Genomic DNA, 20,477 nt, shown 5'->3' with positions numbered 1-20,477 from the left:
ATTTGATTCAAAATTCATATTTATAACTTTTTGATGTTACATATATATAAAATCAAAATGTCGAACCTCATTCATTTAATGAATTTTTTATTGAGTATTTGCCATGTAGCAGATATTGCTGAAATCACTGGGGAATATAAAAATGAAAGAGAAATGTTTCTGGTCCACAAGCAGCTTATATTTGGTAGGAAAGAGAAAAATACACCAAAAATAACAAAAGAACCATAACAGCCACTACAGAAGTAAGCACAAGGTACAAGGTGGTGCAGAGGAGAGCATGAAAGACCGTTTTGAGAATTCAGGTGGGGCCACACTGGAGTTGAGTCACACTTGAAATGAGCAGGAATTTGCAGGGAGGCATAAAATTCTAGCCAAGGGGCTGGGCATGGTGGCTCGCGCCTGTAATCCCAGCACTTTGGGAGGCCGAGGTGGGCGGATCACGAGGTCAAGAGATCAAGACCACCCTGGCCAACATGTGAAACCTCATCTCTACTAAAAATAGAAAAATTAGCAGGGCATGGTGGTATGTGCGTGTAATCCCAGCTACTTGGGAGGCTGAGTCAGGAGAATTGCTTGAACCCGGGAGGCGGAGGTTGCAGTGAGCAGAGATCGCGCCATTGCACTCCAGCCTGAGCAACAGGGCGAGACTCTGTCTCAAAAAATAAATTAATTAATTAATTAAATAAATAAAAATAAAAATTTGGCCAGGTGCGGTGGCTCACTCCTGTAATCCCAGCACTTTGAGAGGCCAAGGTGGGCGGATCACGGGGTCAAGAGATCGAGACCATCCTGGCCAATGTGGTGAAACCTCGTCTCTACTAAAAATACAAAAATTAGTGGGGCGTGGTGGCATGCACCTGTAGTCCCAGCTACTCACGAGGCTAAGGCAGGAGCATCTCTTGAACCCGGGAGGCAGAGGTTGCAGGGAGCCGAGATTGCGCCACTGCACTCCAGCCTAGTGACACAGCGAGATTCCGTCTCAAAAAAAATAAAAAACATATAAAAATAAATAAATAAATATTCTAGGCAAAGGGATTGACATGCATGAAGACACAGCAGTGTAAAACAACTTGGGAACTTGGGATGGCCAGGGTGCCCTAAGTGGTCTGGTATGTTGTCCCTGTACTGTGGGGTCCAGTTGGCCAGGGTGCAAATGCAGGCTGGATCATGGAGAGTCTCCCACTGAATGCAGAATATTTTAAATATCCCCAACACACTGTCACCCAGCTCTGCCTGGGCTCTCTCAGACAAAGAACCTAGATCTTTGTAAGGTACTTAATTCTGTTTCTGAGCATCCGATTGTGACAAATTCCTTCCTATATTGATGTAACATTTGCTTCCTTCTTTCACCCAATGATTCTGGTTTGCCCTCTGCAGCATTAAAAAATAAGTCTACATCCTCTTCTATTAGGTTGAACCAAATGAAAATGCTATTTTTATAGATCAAACCAGTTGAACATTGACAGTTTTATATTGTCAGCCTTATTATACCTGTTTGAGGACATTAGTCTTCTCTTCCCCATCAATAATATCTCCAAACTCCATCAAATTCTTTCTCACCTGGTAAAGTTATGAGATCTTTTTCAAATATGATCTCATATTTAGGCATATTCTAGTTCCTCAATATTTTTCTTTCTTTTTAATGTTTGATTTTTGTTTGTTTGTTTTGAGATAGGGAGTCTCACTCTGTCGCCCAGGCTGGAGTGCACTGGTGCAATCTCGGCTCACTGCAACCTCTGCCTCCTGGATTCAAGTGATTCTCCTGCTTCAGCCTCTCGAATAGCTGGGATTACAGGCGCCAGACCCAGCTAATTTTTGTACTTTTAGTAGAGACGAGGTTTCAGCACGCTGGTCAGGCTGGTCTCGAACTCCTGACCCCAAGCGATCCACCTGCCTTAACCTCCCAAAGTGCTGGGATTACAGGTGTGAGCCACCACACCTGGCCTGTTTTTTTTTTTTAGATGGTGTCTCGTTATGTCACCCAGCCTGGAGTGGCGCAATCTCGGCTTACTGCAATCTCCGCTTTTTGGGTTCAAGCGATTCTTGTGCCTCAGCCTCTCAAGTAGCTCGGATTACAGGTGTGTGCCACCGTGCCCAGCTAAATTTTGTAGTTTTAGTAGAGATGGGGTTTCGCCATGTTGGCTAGGCTTGTCTCCAACTCCTGACCTCATGTGATCTGCCCACCTCAACCTCTCAAAGTGCTGGGATTATAGGCGTGAGCCGCCACACTCAGCCCTCAATATCTTTCTTAATATGGGACAGTCAGAACCAGTCAGTTTAAAATGCAGGGAGACTATTCTTTCTCTGGATCTGACAGTGTGTCTTTTCATGAAACTCTGACTGCATTGGGTTTCATGAGACCTGAACCTTTTTCACACAAGATACTGTCAAACCAGTCCTACTCCTACCTGTGCAATTAATTTTTTTTTTAAGTAGAGATGGGGTTTCTCCATGTTGGTCAGGCTGGTCTCAAACTCCCGACCTCAAGTGTGCCCACCTCGGCCTCCCAAAGTGCTGGGATTACAGGCGTGAGCCACCATGCCCAGCCCATTTAGTTTTTTTTTTTTTTTTAAATCAACTGCACCGGGCGCAGTGACTCACACCTGTAATCCCAGCACTTTGGGAGGCCGAGGTGGGCAGATCACCTGAGGTTGGGAGTTTGAGACCCGCCTGACCAACATGGTGAAACCTGGTCTCTACTAAAAATACAAAAAGCAGCTGGGTGTGGTGGCGCCCGCCTGTAATCCCAGCTACTTAGGAGGCTGAGGCAGGAGAATCACTTGAACCCAGGAGGTGGAGGTTGCAGTGAGCTGAGATCGTGCCACTGCATTCCAGCCTGGGCGACAGAGCAAGACTCCGTCTCAAAAAAAAAAAAAAAGAAAAGAAAAGAAAAAGAAATACAAACCTCAGCCAGGTACAGTGGTTTACGTCTGTAATCCCACTACTTTGAGAGGCCGAGGCAGGTGCATCACCTGAGGTCCGGAGTTCAAGACCAGCCTGGCCAACATGGGGAAACCACATCTCTACTAAAAACACAAAAATTAGGCCAGGTGTGGTGGCTCACACTTGTAATCCCAGCACTTTGGGAGGCCGAGGTGGGTGGATCACCTGAAGTCAGGAGTTCAAGACCAGCCTGGCCAACATGGCAAAACCCTGTCTCCACTGAAAAAATACAAAAATTAGCTAGGCGTGGTGGCAGGTGCCTGTAATCCCAGCTACTCGGGAAGGCTGAGGCAGGAGAATCACTTCAACCCCAGAGGTGGAGGTTGCAGTGAGCCAAGATCACACCACTGCACTTCAGCCTGGGCGACAGAGCAAGAGTCCATCTCGGAAAAAAAAAAAAAAAAAAGAGCTGGGCACGGTGGCTCACGTCTGTAATTTCAGCACTTTGGGACACCGAGGCGGGCTGATCCCAAGGTCAATAGATAGAGACCATCCTGGCCAACATGGTGAAACCCCATCTCTACTAAAAATACAAAAAAAGTAGCTGGGCATGGTGGTGTGTGCCTGTAATCCCAGCTACTCAGAGGCAGAGGCAGGAGAATTGCTTGAACCCGAGGGGCAGAGGTTGCAGTGAGCCAAGATCACGCCACTGCACTCCAGCCTGGGTGATAGAGCAAGACTGCATCTCAAAAAATAAAATAAGGGGCTGGGCGCGGTGACTCACGCCTGTAATCCCAGCACTTTGGGAGGCCAAGGTGGGTGGATCACCTTAGGTCAGGAGTTTGAGACCACCCCGGCCAACATGGTGAAACCCCATCTCTACTAAAAATAAAAAATTAGCTGGGCATGGTAGGGGGAGGAGCCTGTAATCCCAGCTACCTGGGAGGCTGAGGCAGGAGAATTGCTTGAGCCCAGGAGGCAGAGGTTGCAGTGAGCCAAGATCGTGCCACTGCGTTCCAGCCTGGCAACAGAGCAAGACTCTGTCTCAAAAAATAATAATAATAATAATAATAAAATAAAATAAAAGAGCCAGACACGGTGGCTCATGTCTGTAATTTCAGAACTTTGGGACACTGAGGTGGGTGGATCACAAGGTTAAGAGATAGAGACCATCCTGGTCAACATGGTGAAACCCCATCTCTACTAAAAATACAAAAAAATTAGCTGGGCGTGGTGGCGTTCGCCTGTAATCCCAGCTACTTGGAGGCTGAGGCAGGAGAATCAGTTGAATCTGGGAGGCGGAGTTTGCAGTGAGCCGAGACTCCGCCACTGCACTCCAGCCTGGGCGACAGAGTGAGACTCTGTCTCTAAAAAAAAATAAAAGAAATACAAACCTCAACATAGTAAACTTGCTGCTATTCAAGAGCCATTCTCCTCAGTAATAATATTGAGCACTAACATGGTTTTATCCTTATTTTTAAATTAAATTATTTTTAGTGTATTTTATTTTATTTTAGAGAGAAAGCCTTTTGTTGTTGTTGTTGTTGTTGAGACGGAGTCTCGCTCTGTCGCCCAGGCTGGAGTGCAGTGGCGCCATCCCAGCTCACTGCAAGCTCCGCCTCCCAGGTTCACGCCATTCTCCAGCCTCAGCCTCCTAAGAAGCTGGGACTACAAGCTCCTGCCACCACGCCTGGCTAATTTTTTGTATTTTTAGTAGAGATGGGGTTCCACCATGTTAGCCAGGATGGTCTCGATCTCCTGACCTCGTGATCCGCCCTCCTTGGCCTCCCAAAGTACTGGCATTACAGGTGTGAGCCACCACGCCCAGCCAACAAAGTCTTACTTTGTCATCCAGGCTGACGTCTAGTGGTGCAATCATGGCTCACTGCAGCCTTGACCACCTGGGCCCAGGGAATCCTCCCACTTCAACCCCTTGAGTAGCTGGGACTACAGACCCATGCCACCATGACCAGTTAATTTTGTCAAAATTTTTTGTGGATACAGGGTCTCACCATGTTGCCCAGACTGGTCTGGAACTCCTGGCCTCAAGGAAACCTCCTGCCTCAGCCTCCCAAATCGCTGGGATTGTAGGTGTGAGTCACAATACCCAGCCCTAGCACTAACATGTTTTAACTCATTTAATCCTTTGGACAATCTTGTGATACAGGTACTGTTATTATCCCTATTTCTTTTTCTTTTTTTTGAGACGGAGTTTCGCTCTTGTTGCCCAGGCTGGAGTGTAATGGCGTGATCTTGGCTCACTGCAACCTCCGCCTCCCAGGGTCATGCTATTCTCCTGCCTCAGCCTCTCAAGTAGCTGCGATTACAGGCGCCCCCACACCCCGATCATGCCCAGATAATTTTTGTATTTTTAGTAGAGACGGGGTTTCACCATGTTGGCCGGGCTGGTCTTGAACTCCTGACCTCAGGTGATCCACCCACCTTGGCCTCCCAAAGTGTTGGGATTACAGGTGTGAGCCACCGTGTCTGGCCTATTATCCCTATTTCATGAGTGAAGAAACTGAGGTATAGGGCAGTTAAGTAACTTGTGTAACTTATGGTTAAATGTGTAACAAATGGTTAAAAAGTTGCACTGACACTATTTGAACCTAGACATTAGGTCTCTAGAGCTTCACACTCTCAATCCCTACAGACACGTCTCAGACTAGTCTACTTAGGTTCATATCAAATTCTAATCTAACGCCAGGCACAGTAGCTCATGCCTGTTATCCCAATACTTTGGGAGGCTGAGGCAGGCGGATCACCTGAGGTCAGGAGTTCAAGACCAGCCTGGTCAACATGGTGAAACCCCGCCTCTACTAAAAATACAAAAATTAGCCAGGTGTGGTGGCACACACCTGTAGTCTCAGCTATTTGGGAGGCTGAGGCAGGAGAATCACTTGAACCTGGGAGGTGGAGGTTGCAGTGAGCCGAGATCACGCCACTGCACTCCAACCTGGGGACAGAGCGAGATTCCGCCTCAAAAAAAAAAAAAAAAAAAAAAAAAAAAAACAACCCAACACAAACTAATCTAACTTTCTTAGTGATCCCTACAATAAAATTCAGGCTCTGATCTCTACCCTGAACCCTATCTAATACACAGCCTGTTCTATTAGCAGCTCTGCCACATAAAATGGCCTGGATCATTCTGGGGGGTTGGGGTGGGGGGGTAGGCGTTCCAGGACTGCCTTAGCCTGTGACAGAGGAAGGAGAATGGGGTGGGATCACAGGCGGAGGAGGGACATCAGTCAAACCCTCTCTGTCTGCAGAGGTGGAGCTTCCCCTTTCTGCTCTGTGGGTGGGTCCTCCCAGACAGGAAGGGAGCAGTTGGCTTAGTCGGTCTAGTTTTCCCTGGAATTCAGCATACTGTGAAATTTAGGAGATGCCTGAGGCCAATTTAGGCAAGTTCTATTCAACAAACATTTGCTGAGTCCCAACAATGGGGCAGACACTGTGCTGGATTGGAATAGAACATAAACATGTCACATATTGTCAAAATAAAGATAAGCACTTCAATGGCCAGTTACCTCCTAAGTGTGATAAGAGCCTGGATCGCTACAGACCTGAGTGTATTGTTTGGAATGAGGGATGGCAAGAGGAGAAAGGAAAAAGGGGAAGTAGGGATAAGGCACCTATTACTGGGGTTTTTGGTTTCAAGGAAACAATCCAGATTAGGGAAGGAAAGAATAACTGAGTAAGGATTGCTGGCAGAAGGGAGGCGCCTTCAAGAGTACTGAGTTATTCAGCTGCAGGTGAGTCAAGTACCTTACCTGTTTATCTGGAATGCTTGAGGGAAGGAAGATATGAGGGCAAAGAGCAGTCAGGAAGATCCATTGTGTGTGTGTGTGTGTGTGTGTGTGTGTGTGTGTGTGTTTAGGGTTGTGTGAAATGCAAATTCCTGCTTTTTCTTGGCAGCTTTTCTGGAAATTATGATGACAGCTGGTGGTGGGAAACATCACTGAAATACTGAAATTACTAGTGACCACAGCTTTTTCTCTGCTCCAGGTGACTGGCTATCACCTGAGCCATTCCAGATGGCGCCTACTGTGGATTTTCTTTTCTTTTCTTTTCTTTTTTGAAACGGTCTCGCTCTGTTGCCCAGGCTGGAGTGCAGTGGTGCAATCTCGGATCACTGCAGCCTCCGCCTCCCAAGTTCAAGTGATTCTCCTGCCTCAGCCTCCCGAATAGCTGGGATTACAGGTGTGTGCCACCATGCCCAGCTAATTTTTGCATTTTTAGTAGAGACAGGGTTTCACCATGTTGGCCAGGCTTGTCTTGAACCCCTGACCTCAAGTGATCCACCTGCCTCAGCCTCCAAAGTTCTGGGATTACAGGCATGAGCCACCGCACCTGGCCAGATTCATTTTTTTTCCTCTTGCTCATTTAGTAAAGTGAGGGTATTATTGTTTTTCTGTGTTTTTGTGTGTGTTTTTTTTTTTTGAAGTAGGAAGGGAGGAAGAGACAGGTTCATTTTCCAAGAGCAATTAATGAGCATTCCACATTCTGTACATTAACCAGAAAGCTTACTGTGGATAAAAAGCCTGGACAAGAGACGCAGTCAGCAGAGAGATCCACTTTCTCATTTTAGATCTACTCCCACTTACTGTGAGTTTTAGAAGTGCACGACCTAGGCGGGGCGTGGTGGCTCACACCTGTAATCGCAGCACTTTGGGAGGCCGAGGTGGGCGGATCACGAGGTCAGGAGTTTGAGACCAGCCTGGCCAACATGTGAAACCCCGTCTCTACTAAAAATACAAAAAATTAGCCGGTGTGGTGGCATGCGCCTGTAGTCCCAGCTACTCAGGAGACTGAGGCAGGAGAATCGCTTGAACCCAGGAGGCAGAGGTTGCAGTGAATGGACATCCGCGCCATTGTACTGCAGCCTAGGTGACAGAGCAACACTCCATTTAAAAAAAAAAAAGTGCACGACCTATCTGTATGTCCAGTTTCTCATTTTTGGTGGATGAATAATACCTTCTTGTGTCTCAATGACATTGTGAGAAAGGAAAATATTCAAAGTAATTAGGAAAGAGTACTCTGTAGAGATTTTATTGTTATTAATAATTTCCCAGACTGTGTTGGAAAAGTAAAAAGGCCATGGATGATATGCCATTTTTACCTTTTTATTAGAAACAGGGTCTTGCCACATTGCCCAGGCTGGTCTCAAACTTGGGGGCAAAAGTAATCTGCCTGCCTTGCCCTCTGGAAGTACGGGGATTACAAGCATGAGCCACCATACCAGGCCGGGAATTTCCTAAACTTTTCAAACTGTGGAGTGCAGCCCTCATTAGCCAAAGCTGATGGACCTGAGCATAATAATTTTTTTCCACAGAAAATTAGTAGAATAAAATAATTTTAGAGCTAGAAAGAACTTTGAAGATGATCTAATCCATTACCTAATTTTACAGATGAAGAAACTGAAACAGCAAGGGGTTCTAGACAGATAAAGGATTTGGGTGGCACTGTTGGAAAGCCAGAAGATTCTGATAACCATCAAGGGAAAATAATGTCTTTTAATAGTTCTTAATATTTAAACAAAACAGGTGATGGAAACTCATCTGCTCTTGAATGGGCTAAGTTATGTACCACCTGTCAGGGAAGAGCTAAATGGAAACTCAAGCTTTATTTCTCTTTGTCTTATTCCAGTTTATTCTTTGGGTTATATTACATCAGCCCTGGGAGTTCCAGAAAGAGATCATGGGAAGACCAAGTATTGGGAAAGAGTGCCTGTTCTGAGTCAAGGTAACCTGGCTTCTGCCACTGGCTCTGCCACTTACAAGCCACTGAGTGGCACACACTAGGTACTCAATAACTGCTTGATAAACAAGTCGTGGCACATCCCTGTAGTCCCAACTACTCAGGAGGCTGAGGCAGGAGGATCACTTGAGTCCAGGAGTTTGAGGCCAGCCTGGCCAACATCATGAGACCACGTCTAAAACAAGAAAAATCACACGAAGAGGAAATGATTTTTCTAAAGAACTAAATTATTAATGATTATAGAAAAGATTTCTCTCCTGTGGGTTATGGTAAAATGTGAAACTCTGTTGGGATACCTTTTTTTTGAGACAAGAGTCTCACTCTGTCGCTCAGGCTGGAGTGCAGTGCAATGATGCAATCTCGGCTCAGTGCAATCTCGGCTCACTGCAACCTCTGCCTTGCAGTTTCAAGCCATTCTCCTGCCTCAGCCTCAGCCTCCTGAGTAGCCGGGATTATAGGCACATGCCACCATGCCCGGCTAATTTTTGTATTTTTAGTAGAGACAGGGTTTCACCATGTTGGTCAGCCTGGTCTTGAACTCCTGACCTCGTGATCCGCCCGCGTTGGCCTCCCAAAGTGCTGGGATTACAAGCACGAGCCACTGCACCTGGCTGGGATACTTTTTTTTTTTTTTTGAGACGGAGTTTCACTCTGTCACCCAGGATAGAGTGCTGTGGCGCAATCTTGGCTCACTGCAACCTCTACCTCCTGGGTTCAAGAGATTCTCCTGCCTCAGCCTCCCCAGTAGCTGAGATTATAGGCACCTGCCACCACGTCCGGCTAATCTTTTTTTTTTTTGAGACGGTGTCTTGCTCTGTCACCCAGGCTGGAGTGCAGTGGCACGATCTCAGCTCACTGCAAACTCCACCTTCCAGGTTTGTCATTCTCTTGCCTCAGCCTCCCAAGTAGCTGGGATTACAGGTGCCTGCCGTCACGCCAGGCTAATTTTTGTATTTTTAGTAGAGGCGGGGTTTCACTGTGTTAGCCAGGATGGTCTCCATCTCCTGACCTCGTGATGTGCCCGCCTCAGCCTCCCAAAGTGCTGGGATTACAGGCATGAGCCACCGTGTCCGGCCAATGCCTAGCTAATTTTCATATTTTTAGTAGAGGCGGGGGTTTCACTATGTTGGCCAGGCTGGTCTCAAACTCCTGACCTCAGGTGATCTGCCTGCCTCGGCCTCCCAAAGTGCTGGGATTACAGGCATGAGCCACTGCGCCTGTTGGGATACTTCTGGATTAAAATCCTATGAATATTTATTCTTCAGAGTGTTTTTTTTTCCTCCCCATTAAAATGTTTAAGCTTTGATATTTGCAGGAGTGGCAGAATCAGGTTTATAATATCTGCCTGCATCATTTTCAGGTGAGTGGAAATACTAAAAGTATATTAATATAGTAACAGTGGCAAAAGAAAGAAAGAAAAAAAATCATTGGTTTGACAGTGTGGTATATCAGCCCTTGGCTGCTACTTGACATAATCTTGCCAACATCACTCTCAAAGTAATTTCTCTTATTAATACAGCATAATCACCACCATATTCTGAACATGGATATTTAATATTGGAAAAACTATTTAAAGTATTTGATATATTTAAAGGGACAAGTTGATTTTTATGGAGCCAGTTGATATTAACCTATGCTGTTTTCCACTAAAGTGAATACCCTAGGGAATAAGAAAAGGAGAAGAGAGTTAGATATCCCTTTTAGCGGTCTCCTAGCCTAAAAAATTAAACATGACAGAATGTCATTCCACTCTCCAGAAAAAGATATTTGCCAGCACACAAAGCTATTTTAAAATCCCTATTTACCCCGGGTGTGACGGCTCATGCCTGTAATCCCAGCACTTTGGGAGGCCAAGGCGGGTGGATCACCTGAGGTTAGGAGTTTGAGACCAGCCTAGACAACATGGTGAAACCCCATCTCTACTAAAAATACAAAAACTAGCCAGATATGGGCCTGGTGCAGTGGCTTGCGCCTGTAATCCCAGCACTTTGGGAGGCCGACCTGGGCAGATCACGAGGTCAGGAGATCGAGGCCATCCTGGCTAACATAGTGAAACCGCATCTCTACTAAAAATACAAAAAAGAAAAAAACCCCACAAAATTAGCCGCGAGTGGTGGCCGGTACCTGCAGTCCCAACTACTCGGGAGGCTGAGGCGGGAGAATGGCGGGAACCCAGGAGGCGGAGCTTGCGGTGAGCCAAGATTGCGCCACTCCACTCCAGCCTGGGCGACAGAGCGAGACTCCATCTCCAAAAAAAAAAAAAAAAAAAAAAACTAGCCAGGTATGGTGGCACGTGCCTGTAATCCCAGCTACTCAGGAGGCTGAGGCAGGAGAATGGCGTGAACCTGGGAGGTGGAGGTTGCAGTGAGCCGAGATCGCACCACTGCACTCCAGTCTGGGCAACAAGAGTGAGACTCTGTCTCAAAAAAAAAAAAAAAAAAAAAACCTGAAAGCAGGCCGGGCGAAGGTAGCTCACGCCTGTAATCTCAGCACTTTGGAAGGCTGAGTTGGGTGGATCACCTGAGGTTAGGAGTTCGCGACCAGCCTGGACAACATGGTGAAACCCCGTCTCTACTAAAAATACAAAAAAAAAGCCGGGCGCAGTGGCTCACGCCTGTAATCCCAGCACTTTGGGAGGCTGAGGTGGGTGGATTGCCTGAGGTCAGGAGTTCAAGACCAGCCTGGCCAATATGGTGAAACCCCGTCTCTACTAAAAATACAAAAATTAGCCAGGCGTGGTGACAGACGCCTGTAATCCCAGCTACTCGGGAGGCTGAGGCAGGAGAATCGCTTGAACCTGGGAGGTGGAGGTTGCAGTGAGCCGAGATCGCACCACTGCACTCCAGCCTGGGCGACAAGAGTGAGAGGCTGTCTCAAAAAAATATATATATATATATAGCTGGGCGTGGTGGCGGGCGCCTGTACTCTCAGCTACTCAGGAGGCTGAGGCAGGAGAGTCACTTGAACCCAGGAGGTGGAGGTTGCAGTGAGGCGAGATCATGCCGTTGCAATCCAGCCTGGGAAACGAGCAAAACTCCATCTCAAAAAAAAAAAATCTGAAAGCATAGTACTGGTAGGGTTACTATATTTAGCAAATAAAAATACAGCATGCCCAATTGCATTTGAATTTCGGACCAGGCTCAGTGGCTTACACTTGTAATTCCAGCACTTTGAGAGGCCGAGTTAGGCAGATCATTTGAGCCCAGAGTTTGAGACGAGTCTGGACAACATGGCAAAGTCCCTTCTCTAAAAAAGAGAAGATACAAAAATTAGCCAAAAGGCTGGGCGTGGCGGCTCACAGCTGTAATCCTAGCATTTAGGGAGGCTGAGGCAGGTGGATCACCTGAGGTCAGGAGTTCAAGACCAGGCTGGCCAACATGGTGGAACCCTGTCTCTACTAAAATACAAAAATTAGCTGGGCATGATGATGGGTGCCTCTAATCCCAGCTACTCGGGAGGCTGAGACGGGAGAATCGCTTGAATCCGGGAGAGGGTGGTTGCAGTGAGCCGAGATTGCGCCATTGCACTCCAGCCTGGGCAGCTGAGCGAGACTCTGTCTCAAAAAAAAAAAAAAAAAAAAAAAAAAAAAATTAGCCAAATGTTGTGGTGCATCCCTGTAGTACCAGCTATTTGGGAGGCTGAGGTGGAAGGATCACCTGAGTCCAGGAGATCAAGGCTTCAGTGAGCTGTAATCGCCACTGCACTCCAGTCTGGACCACAGAGTGAGGCCTTATCTCAAAAAAAAAAAGAAAGAAAGAAAGAAAAAAGAAAACTTGTAATCTCAGCACTTTGGGAAGCCGAGGTGGGTGGATCACAAGGTCAGGAGATCGAGACCATCCTGGCTAACATGGTGAAACCCCGTCTCCACTAAAAAATACAAAAAACAAAACAAAACAAAAAAACAACCCAGCACTTTAGGAGGCCGAGGCGGGTGGATCACTGGAGGTCGGGAGTTCGAGACCAGCTTGACCAACATGGAGAAGCCCTGTCTCTACTAAAAATACAAAATTCGCCAGGCGTGATGGCGCATGCCTGTAATCCCAGCTACTCGGGAGGCTGAGGCAGAAGAATCACTTGAACCCGGGAGGCAGAGGTGGAGGTTGCGGTGAGCTGAGATCGCGCCATTGCACTCCAGCCTGGGCAACAAGAGTGAAACTCTGTCTCAAAAAATAATAATAATAATTGAATTTCAGATAAACAATGAATAGTTTTTAGTATTTAGTAACCTAACTTGTAACTATTGCTTTTTTTTTTTTTTTTTTTTTTTTCTGAGACAGAGTCTCACTCTGTTGCCCAGGCTGGAGTGCAATGGCACAACCTCGGCTCACTGCAAGCTCTGCCTCCCGGGTTCACGCCATTCTCCTGCCTCAGCCTCCCGAGTAGCTGGGACTACAGGCACCCGCCACCACGCCCGGCTAATTTTTTGTATTTTTAGTAGAGACGGGGTTTCACCGTGTTAGCCAGGATGGCCTCCATCTCCTTGACCTCGTGATCCGCCTGCCTCGGCCTCTCAGAGTGCTGGGATTACAGGCGTGAGCCACTGCGCCCGGCAAACTATTGCATATTTTTAGTCTAAGCATGTGTCTAAGCATGTCCCATGAAATAGTTGAGACTATTTACACTAAAAAACTATTCATTTTATCTGCAATTCTAATTTAACTAGGTGTCCTGTTTTTTTATCTGGCCACCCTATTACTGGGGAAAGATACTTGGTCTAACTCCTTCATTACTCTGTAGAACAAGGGGCTCTAACCTGGCTGATGAGAACGTGCCCTTAGGGTTTACTACATGGAATTATAAAGTTATCATGATCATGGTAAAAGGAGAAGAACTGAGCCTTTCTTCTGCTCCATGGATTTCCATTCTGTCTCTCACACTATGAAAAGCATTTAAATATATTTCCAATTATTCAGAGTGGTAATAGATTAATCGTACTAAATAAAGAGAATATTTCATTTAGATCTCTAGGGTTAGGATTTGTTTAAGTAGGGGCTAAGAGCCTAGGATTAACCATATAGATGTATAAACCTAGAGAACTTGTTTCTCTTGCTAGGTTTGCTCTTCCTAGAGAGGAATGAACAGACTTGATTTCATAAAGCAGTTTGAGGACTTGAAAAATGCTGAATGAACATATTTTTTCCTGATGAAGTTATCACCCACAATGAAGTAACCTACAAAGGATGACCTCATTGTTTGGCTTTGTAGGACTTGTCATACTATGTCAGATCTCCAGGGTGGAAGCCTGACTAATGGAGGCTGGAGTACTAGTACTCCAGAGGTGGGTTGAAAACAGCAACTTTTCTCTGAGTCTGCTTTAAGCACTCATGGAAAGAGCATTTTTTTTACCATCATGATGCTGTGCTGCACAAGATTCTATTACCCTCATTTGAGCTGCCTGGTTATTCTAGCAATCAGATCTTTCTGTCTCCTTCCTGTTACCTGGCCTTGACACCAACTATCATGTGCCCTTTTTGCCTTGACTCCCAGGCATGCAGTTCTTCTTCCATTTTCTTTAACCCAAAATGCTAGAATATTGGAATTTCTAGGACATTTATTTACATGGGTTCTGATGACAGTGGAGAATATTTGCCATCAGGACTGTCCTGGAAAATCTAGGGTATGTGTGGTCCTCCTTGTCAACACTTGTCAACACATTTCAACACTTGTCCTCTGACAGTTATCTAGGACTGCTAGGATATTCAGAAAGAAGAGAGGCCTGGGAGTCAGAAATTCTTCTCATCATGGCTTTTAGTCATTGCTTTGCAGTTAACTCTGGGCAATGACTGCATCTATCTTTGTCCTACGTCAGTTTTTGACCCCTTGTATTTGAAGCCCCCTAAAACAATTATAAAGAATGAAACAATAGGAAGTAATCTTCAACTTACTTTGGCTATCCTTAAAATGTAAGTTATGAATCCTAGCGTTAGTAACATAGCACACTGGACTTCTTTACCATGAAGGGGAGGAAAAATTAGGGAAAACAAGGGCCTTAAAGATTTTACCATTTTAGGGCAGACACAGTGGCTCACATCTATAATCCCAGTACTTTGGGGAGGCGGGAGGATCGCTCGAACCAGGAGTTTGAGATCAGCCTGGGCAATATGGTGAAATCCCATCTCTACCAAAAAACTCCACACAAACTAGACGGACCTAGTGGTGCATGCCTGTAGTCCCAGCTACCTGGGAAGCTGAGGTAAAGGATCATTGAGCCTGGGAGGCAGATGTTGCAGTGAGCTGAGATCACATCACCACACTCCAGCCTGGGTGACAGAATGGGACCCTGGTATCAGCTCTAAGAACTGCAACTTGTACAATTCAAGTCTGAACCAAACCTGGATAGAACTAATGTTCTAATTTCTGGAAAAAATAAAAGGAGGTAGGGCTTATAAACTAAAGAAAACGATTTACCTTGTCAGACACCAATAATGGCACTTTTTCTGTAAAATAGTGACGCCTTTTTCTCTTCTTCCACCTCCTCCACTCCTTTGATTCTGTCACCCTCTCCTGCATCTACTGATATCCTCTTACATTGAGATAAGACAGTAATGAATCACTTTAGCAAAAGTACATAGAGCTAAACAAAGATGACATCGTTTGGCATCTCTTGGCACTGAGACACATTGGGATAGGGCACAACAAGAGTTCAGGGTTTCCTGATGTAGAGTTGCTAAAACTGTGGCCTCCACTTAACAGCTAATGTAGGTTTGGGGCAACAGGAATATAAATCTCTCTTGAATGGTTTATACTGTGCCTTTTTGCCTGAAGAATTTTGTCTTGGCCAGGCACAGTGGCTCAAGCCTATAATCTCTGCACTTTGGGAGGCCGAGGGGGCGCGGATCACCTGAGGATGGGAGTTCGAGACCAGTCTGACCAACATGGAGAAACCTCGTCTCTACTAAAAATACAAAATTAGCCAGGCGTGGTGGTGCATGCCTGTAATCTCAGCTACTTGGGAGGCTGAGGCAGGAGAATCGCTTGAACCCAGGAGGCAGAGTTTGCAGTGAGCCGAGATTGCACCATTGCACTCCAGCCTGGGCAACAAGAGTGAAGCTCTGAGTTTTGTTCTTTTTCTTTTGTGACCTGCCCTAATTCCTGATGTCAGGTCCCTAGGGTATTTGTGCTATGCCTCATTCTTAGTGACTTTATATTTTATACAGTGTGATTGCACTTTGAACTAAAATAGACCATATCCAGAAACCTGCCGGTGCAGGCTTCCCAGGGCTAAAGAGTATGAGCAGTTTGAATTGCTTTTTGTCTCTTTGCCTTTTTCTTGAATCAATTTACCAAAATAGAGATGTTACCATCAGATTTTTTTTCAAGGCACTAGATCCCAAAGGCTAGTCTCCATGCCAAGACAATTTTTCTAAAGCATGTATATCTGAAAATGAAAGGATCTTAGATGCTTACCTTATGGTTTCTCTTTAGCTCTAGCATTATTTGTTTACTGGGGACACTATGACTTTTGGTTCAGTCCTATGAATAAGCAGGTCACAAGCCAATTTTTAGCTCCCCTTACACTTTTTAAGTATTTATTAATCTTGACTCCTATGCAAACTGTAGGGAGGCTGGCAGCAGAAGATTCTTATCCTTAGTTATTTATGTGGCTAAGACTCCAAGGCAAATTGCTCTCTCAAACTGTAGGGAGGCTGGCAGCAGAATATTCTTATCCTTAGTTATTTATGTGTCTAAGACTCCAAGGCAAATTGCTCTCATAAAATCACACCCCATGAGATGTGATTCTGCCAGATTAGTAGGCCTTAATGTCTTGGGTCTCTTCTCTTCACCCAACTCTTAACCTGGGTTAAGCTTATTCTCTTTGCTAGGCCTTGGATAGCACATTGGGTGAGGACTATTCTGATGTCAATTCTTCTTGTCAAGGATTTAAGAAGCAAACAGAAATAGAGCCAAGGATGGAGAAACTGAGGCCCCCTGACTTGCCAAGCTGCGACTTCTAATCCTCTTGGCTACCCCACTGGTCTGGTTCAACCTGAGCTCGCACTGATTTTTTTGGATTTGACGTCAAGGCAAACATCATTGCAAACTCAATTCCAGCATGCCAGCTCCAGAGCACCGTAACCTTTAAAAACTTGGGATTTCGCCGGGCGCGGTGGCTCACACTTGTAATCCCAGCACTTCGGGAGGCCGAGGCGGGTGGATCACCTGAGGTCAGGAATTTGAGATCAGCCTGCACAACATGGTGAAACCCCGTCTCTACTAATAATAAAAAAAAAGCCAGGCATGGTGGCATGCGCCTGTAGTCCCAGCAACTCGGGAGGCTGTGGCAGGAGAATTGCTGGAACCCGGGAGGTGGAGGTTGCAGCGAGCCAAGATCGCACCACTGCGACAGAGAGAGACTCCGTCTCAAAAAAGAAAAAAAAAGACTTGGGATTTCAGGAGAAATGTTATAGTAGCATTCCAGAGGCCCACGCATCAGACACAGACATATGCACTCTTTGCAGCAGAGGGTATTGGCTTCACCCTATCATATAAGTTGGCTCCCTAACTTATATTCTGCAAAGCCCTGGTGGCTAATCCTTTACAACCAAACAGGTCACAGCCAAACAGGTCATCTCAGTTTGAAGATCATCAACAAAGGGGTTAGGTTTGCTCTTGTAGTTGTCACTCCCTTGGGATTGGTAAACAGACCTGCAGAAGTAGTTGTGAAAAGGGAAGCAGAAGTACTGAAAAAAAAAAAAAAAAAAGGAGGGCTAGAAAGGAAGTGAGAAAGGTGGAAATGTATGACTTTTTCAACTTCCTGATGGAAAGATACCAAGAGAAATAAAACTATGACCAGATAGGACCTTCCTTTGGCCACATTTTTATGTGCATAATGTCATATTGCTATCCCCACATAAATAAAACTATGTATCTATCCATCAATCTATCCAATCTATAGCTCACATATTATTATGACAAATTAAGTTATCCATCAGTATAGCAAACATTTTAAAGCATGTGAAATTAATCTACTTTCCTTTCATGAAGAACACAGGATGGGTAGGCAGCATTCCATCTACTCACATTTCCAACTGTCATTTCAACATCCATTTTAAGTTACGGAAGAGTCAAGGCTGGGACCTCATGGCATCATTTTCCATGGATTGCTCTCCAAGTTTTTGTGTTCCTGGCCTTTGGAACCCCTTCATCATATTCCGCAGGTAAGACACATATTAGTGGAATTCGAGTTATAATTTGTATGCTTGAAATTGACATTGAAGGCCATAATTTGTAAGTCAGAGAGGCTAAACAGTAACTGTAATGCTTTGTTTTGATCTAACTTGGTGGTTTTGTAATGGTTCTCTCAAACGCTCCACATCTTTCTCTTTCTGTGTTCCATAGCTGGGGTTTCTCTCCTTCCTGCCTGAATATTTTGCCTCCCTAATCCAATTCCTTTACATTATCTTTGCTCTGAAATACTTCTTTCGATGACTTACATTTGCTCTCTATAATTTTACTTCAACTTTTTACTAGTCCTGCTACAAAGACCATTCTCACATTAAGAAAATAATAGGCTTTTTTTTTGTTTTTTTTGAGACGGGGTCTCGTTTTGTCACCCAGGCTGGAGTGCAATGGCGTGATCTTGACTCACTGCAAACTCCACCTCCTGGGTTCAAGCAATTATCCTGCCTCAGCCTCCCAAGTAGCTGTGATTACAGGCACCCGCCACCACACCCGGCTAATTTTTTTGCATTTCTAGTAGAAACGGGGTTTCACCATGTTCGCCAGGCTAGTCTTGAACTCCTGACCTCAAGTGATCTGCCTGCCTCGGCCTCCCAAAGTGCTGGGATTACAAGCATGAACCACCATGCCCGGCCCAATAATAGGCTTTTTAAGAAATTCTCAAACCACTGGAGAAATCATACTTTTCTTTGAGATAAGCGTGCATTATGCCCATATCTGCTTTACAGATGGGGAAACTGAGGCAGAGAATTGCTAGGACTTGTTTTAGGTCATAAAGTCAGTGATGATATTGAAACTATTTCTTTTTGTGTCCTCATATTTGTCAGGCTAGTACTTGAAAACTGAAAACAATAGTGGCTCTGGCTAGAATGACTGATTGTTTTTTTTTCCTTTCTTTTTTTTTTTTTTTTTTTTTTTTTTTTTTTTTTTTTTTTTTTTTTTTTGAGACGGAGTCTCGCTCTGTCGCCCAGGCTGGAGTGCAGTGGCGGGATCTCGGCTCACTGCAAGCTCCGCCTCCTGGGTTCACGCCATTCTCCTGCCTCAGCCTCCCAAGTAGCTGGGACTACAGGCGCCCGCCACTACGCCCGGCTAATTTTTTTGTATTTTTAGTAGAGACGGGGTTTCACCGTTTTAGCCGGGATGGTCTCGATCTCCTGACCTCGTGATCCGCCCGCCTCGGCCTCCCAAAGTGCTGGGATTACAGGCGTGAGCCACCGCGCCCGGCCTTTTTTTTTTCCTTTCTTAAACTTTTTTTTTTTTTTTTTTAAGAGACAGGATTTCGGCCGGGCGCAGTGGCTCATGCCTGTAATCCCTGCACTTTGGGAGGCTGAGGCGGGTGGATCACCCGAGGTTAGGAGTTCGAGACCAGCCTGGTCAACATGGTGAAACCCCCTCTCTACTAAAAATACAAAAAATTAGCTGGGCGTGGTGGCAGGCACCTGTAATCCCAGCTACTTGGGAGGCTGAGGCACGAAAATCGCTTGAACCCCCGGGAGGCGGAGGTTGCAGTGAGCCAAGATTGTGCCACTGTACTCCAGCCTGGGCAACAAGAGCAAAACTTTGTCTCAAAAAAAAAAACACAAACCAAACCAAAACAAACAGAGACAGGATTTCACTCTGTTGCCCAGGCTGGACTGCAGTGATGCAGTCATAGCTTACTGCAGCCTCAAACTCCTGGATTCAAGGAATCCTCCCACTTTAGCCTCCCAAGTAGCTAGGACTACAGGCATAGGCCACCACACCCAGCTAATTAAAAACATTTTTTTTTTTTTTTGAGATGGAGTCTTGCTCTGTCGCACAGGCTGGAGTGCAGTGGCGTGATCTCAGCTCACTGCAAGCTCCGCCTCCCGGGTTCACACCATTCTCCTGCCTCAGCCTCCCGAGTAGCTGGGACTACAGGCACCCGCCACCAAGCCCGGCTAATTTTTTGTGTTTTTTTTTGTATTTTTAGTAGAGACGGGGTTTCACTGTGTTGGCCAGGATGGTCTCGATCTCCTGACCTCGTGATCCGCCTGCCTCGGCCTCCCAAAGTGCTGGGATTACAGGCGTGAGCCACCGCGCCCGGCCAATTTTTTTTTTCTTTTTTTGTAGAGATGGGAGTCTCACTATGATGCCCAGAGTGGTCTTGAACTCTTGGCCTCAAGTCATCCTCCTGCCTCAGTCTCCCAAATCTTTGTTAACTTTTTATTGATATATATGGACTTCCATAGGTTTTTCATTTGCAGATTTTCAAAGGTGTGGTAAACAGAGAAGCCTAGAAGCCTGTTAAAAGTAGGGCTAAGGATCTTGGGACATTACTGACTTTCCCATTCCTTCTGAAGCACCATGGAGGGAAATGAATTTCCAAGGGCCCTTGTGTTCTAATTTCTGTTATTTCAGAGAAGCCTGTATGGAGCATATGTTAAGTGGTCATCCAGTCATATTTAAGGGAACTGTGTGTTACCTTCCATTCCTGTAGCCCAAGTTCTAAGTGTGGGTTTATTCTTGACTTGCTGCATTGGAATCTCTTGGATCATAGGACCAAGGATGGGGCCAAGTAAGGTTCTCTTCTTTCTCCTCAGCAGGATCAAAAATTACTGCTGCCATGAAGTCTGTGGCCCTAGTGTTTTGTTTTTGTTTCTGTTTTTGTTTGAGATGGACTTTCACTCTTGTTGCCC

General features: G+C 45.6%; 1 long non-coding RNA gene across 1 annotated transcript in view; it reads left to right on the top strand.

Moving 5' to 3' along the window:
- LOC105371760 (uncharacterized) overlaps positions 1 to 16,786 on the top strand; it is a 28,835-nt gene extending 12,049 nt beyond the window's left edge. Inside the window, exon 3 of the long non-coding RNA XR_934732.2 lies at positions 16,519 to 16,786. This is a non-coding gene — a long non-coding RNA (uncharacterized LOC105371760). The remainder of the gene's footprint in view (positions 1 to 16,518) is intronic.
- The last annotated feature ends 3,691 nt before the right edge of the window (positions 16,787 to 20,477 follow it).

This window comes from Homo sapiens, chromosome 17, assembly GCF_000001405.40.
Source record: "Homo sapiens chromosome 17, GRCh38.p14 Primary Assembly".
NCBI classification, from domain to species: Eukaryota; Metazoa; Chordata; class Mammalia; order Primates; family Hominidae; genus Homo; species Homo sapiens.
The sequence above is the reverse complement of the archived record's forward strand: the minus strand, read 5'-3'. Positions and strand labels throughout refer to the sequence as shown.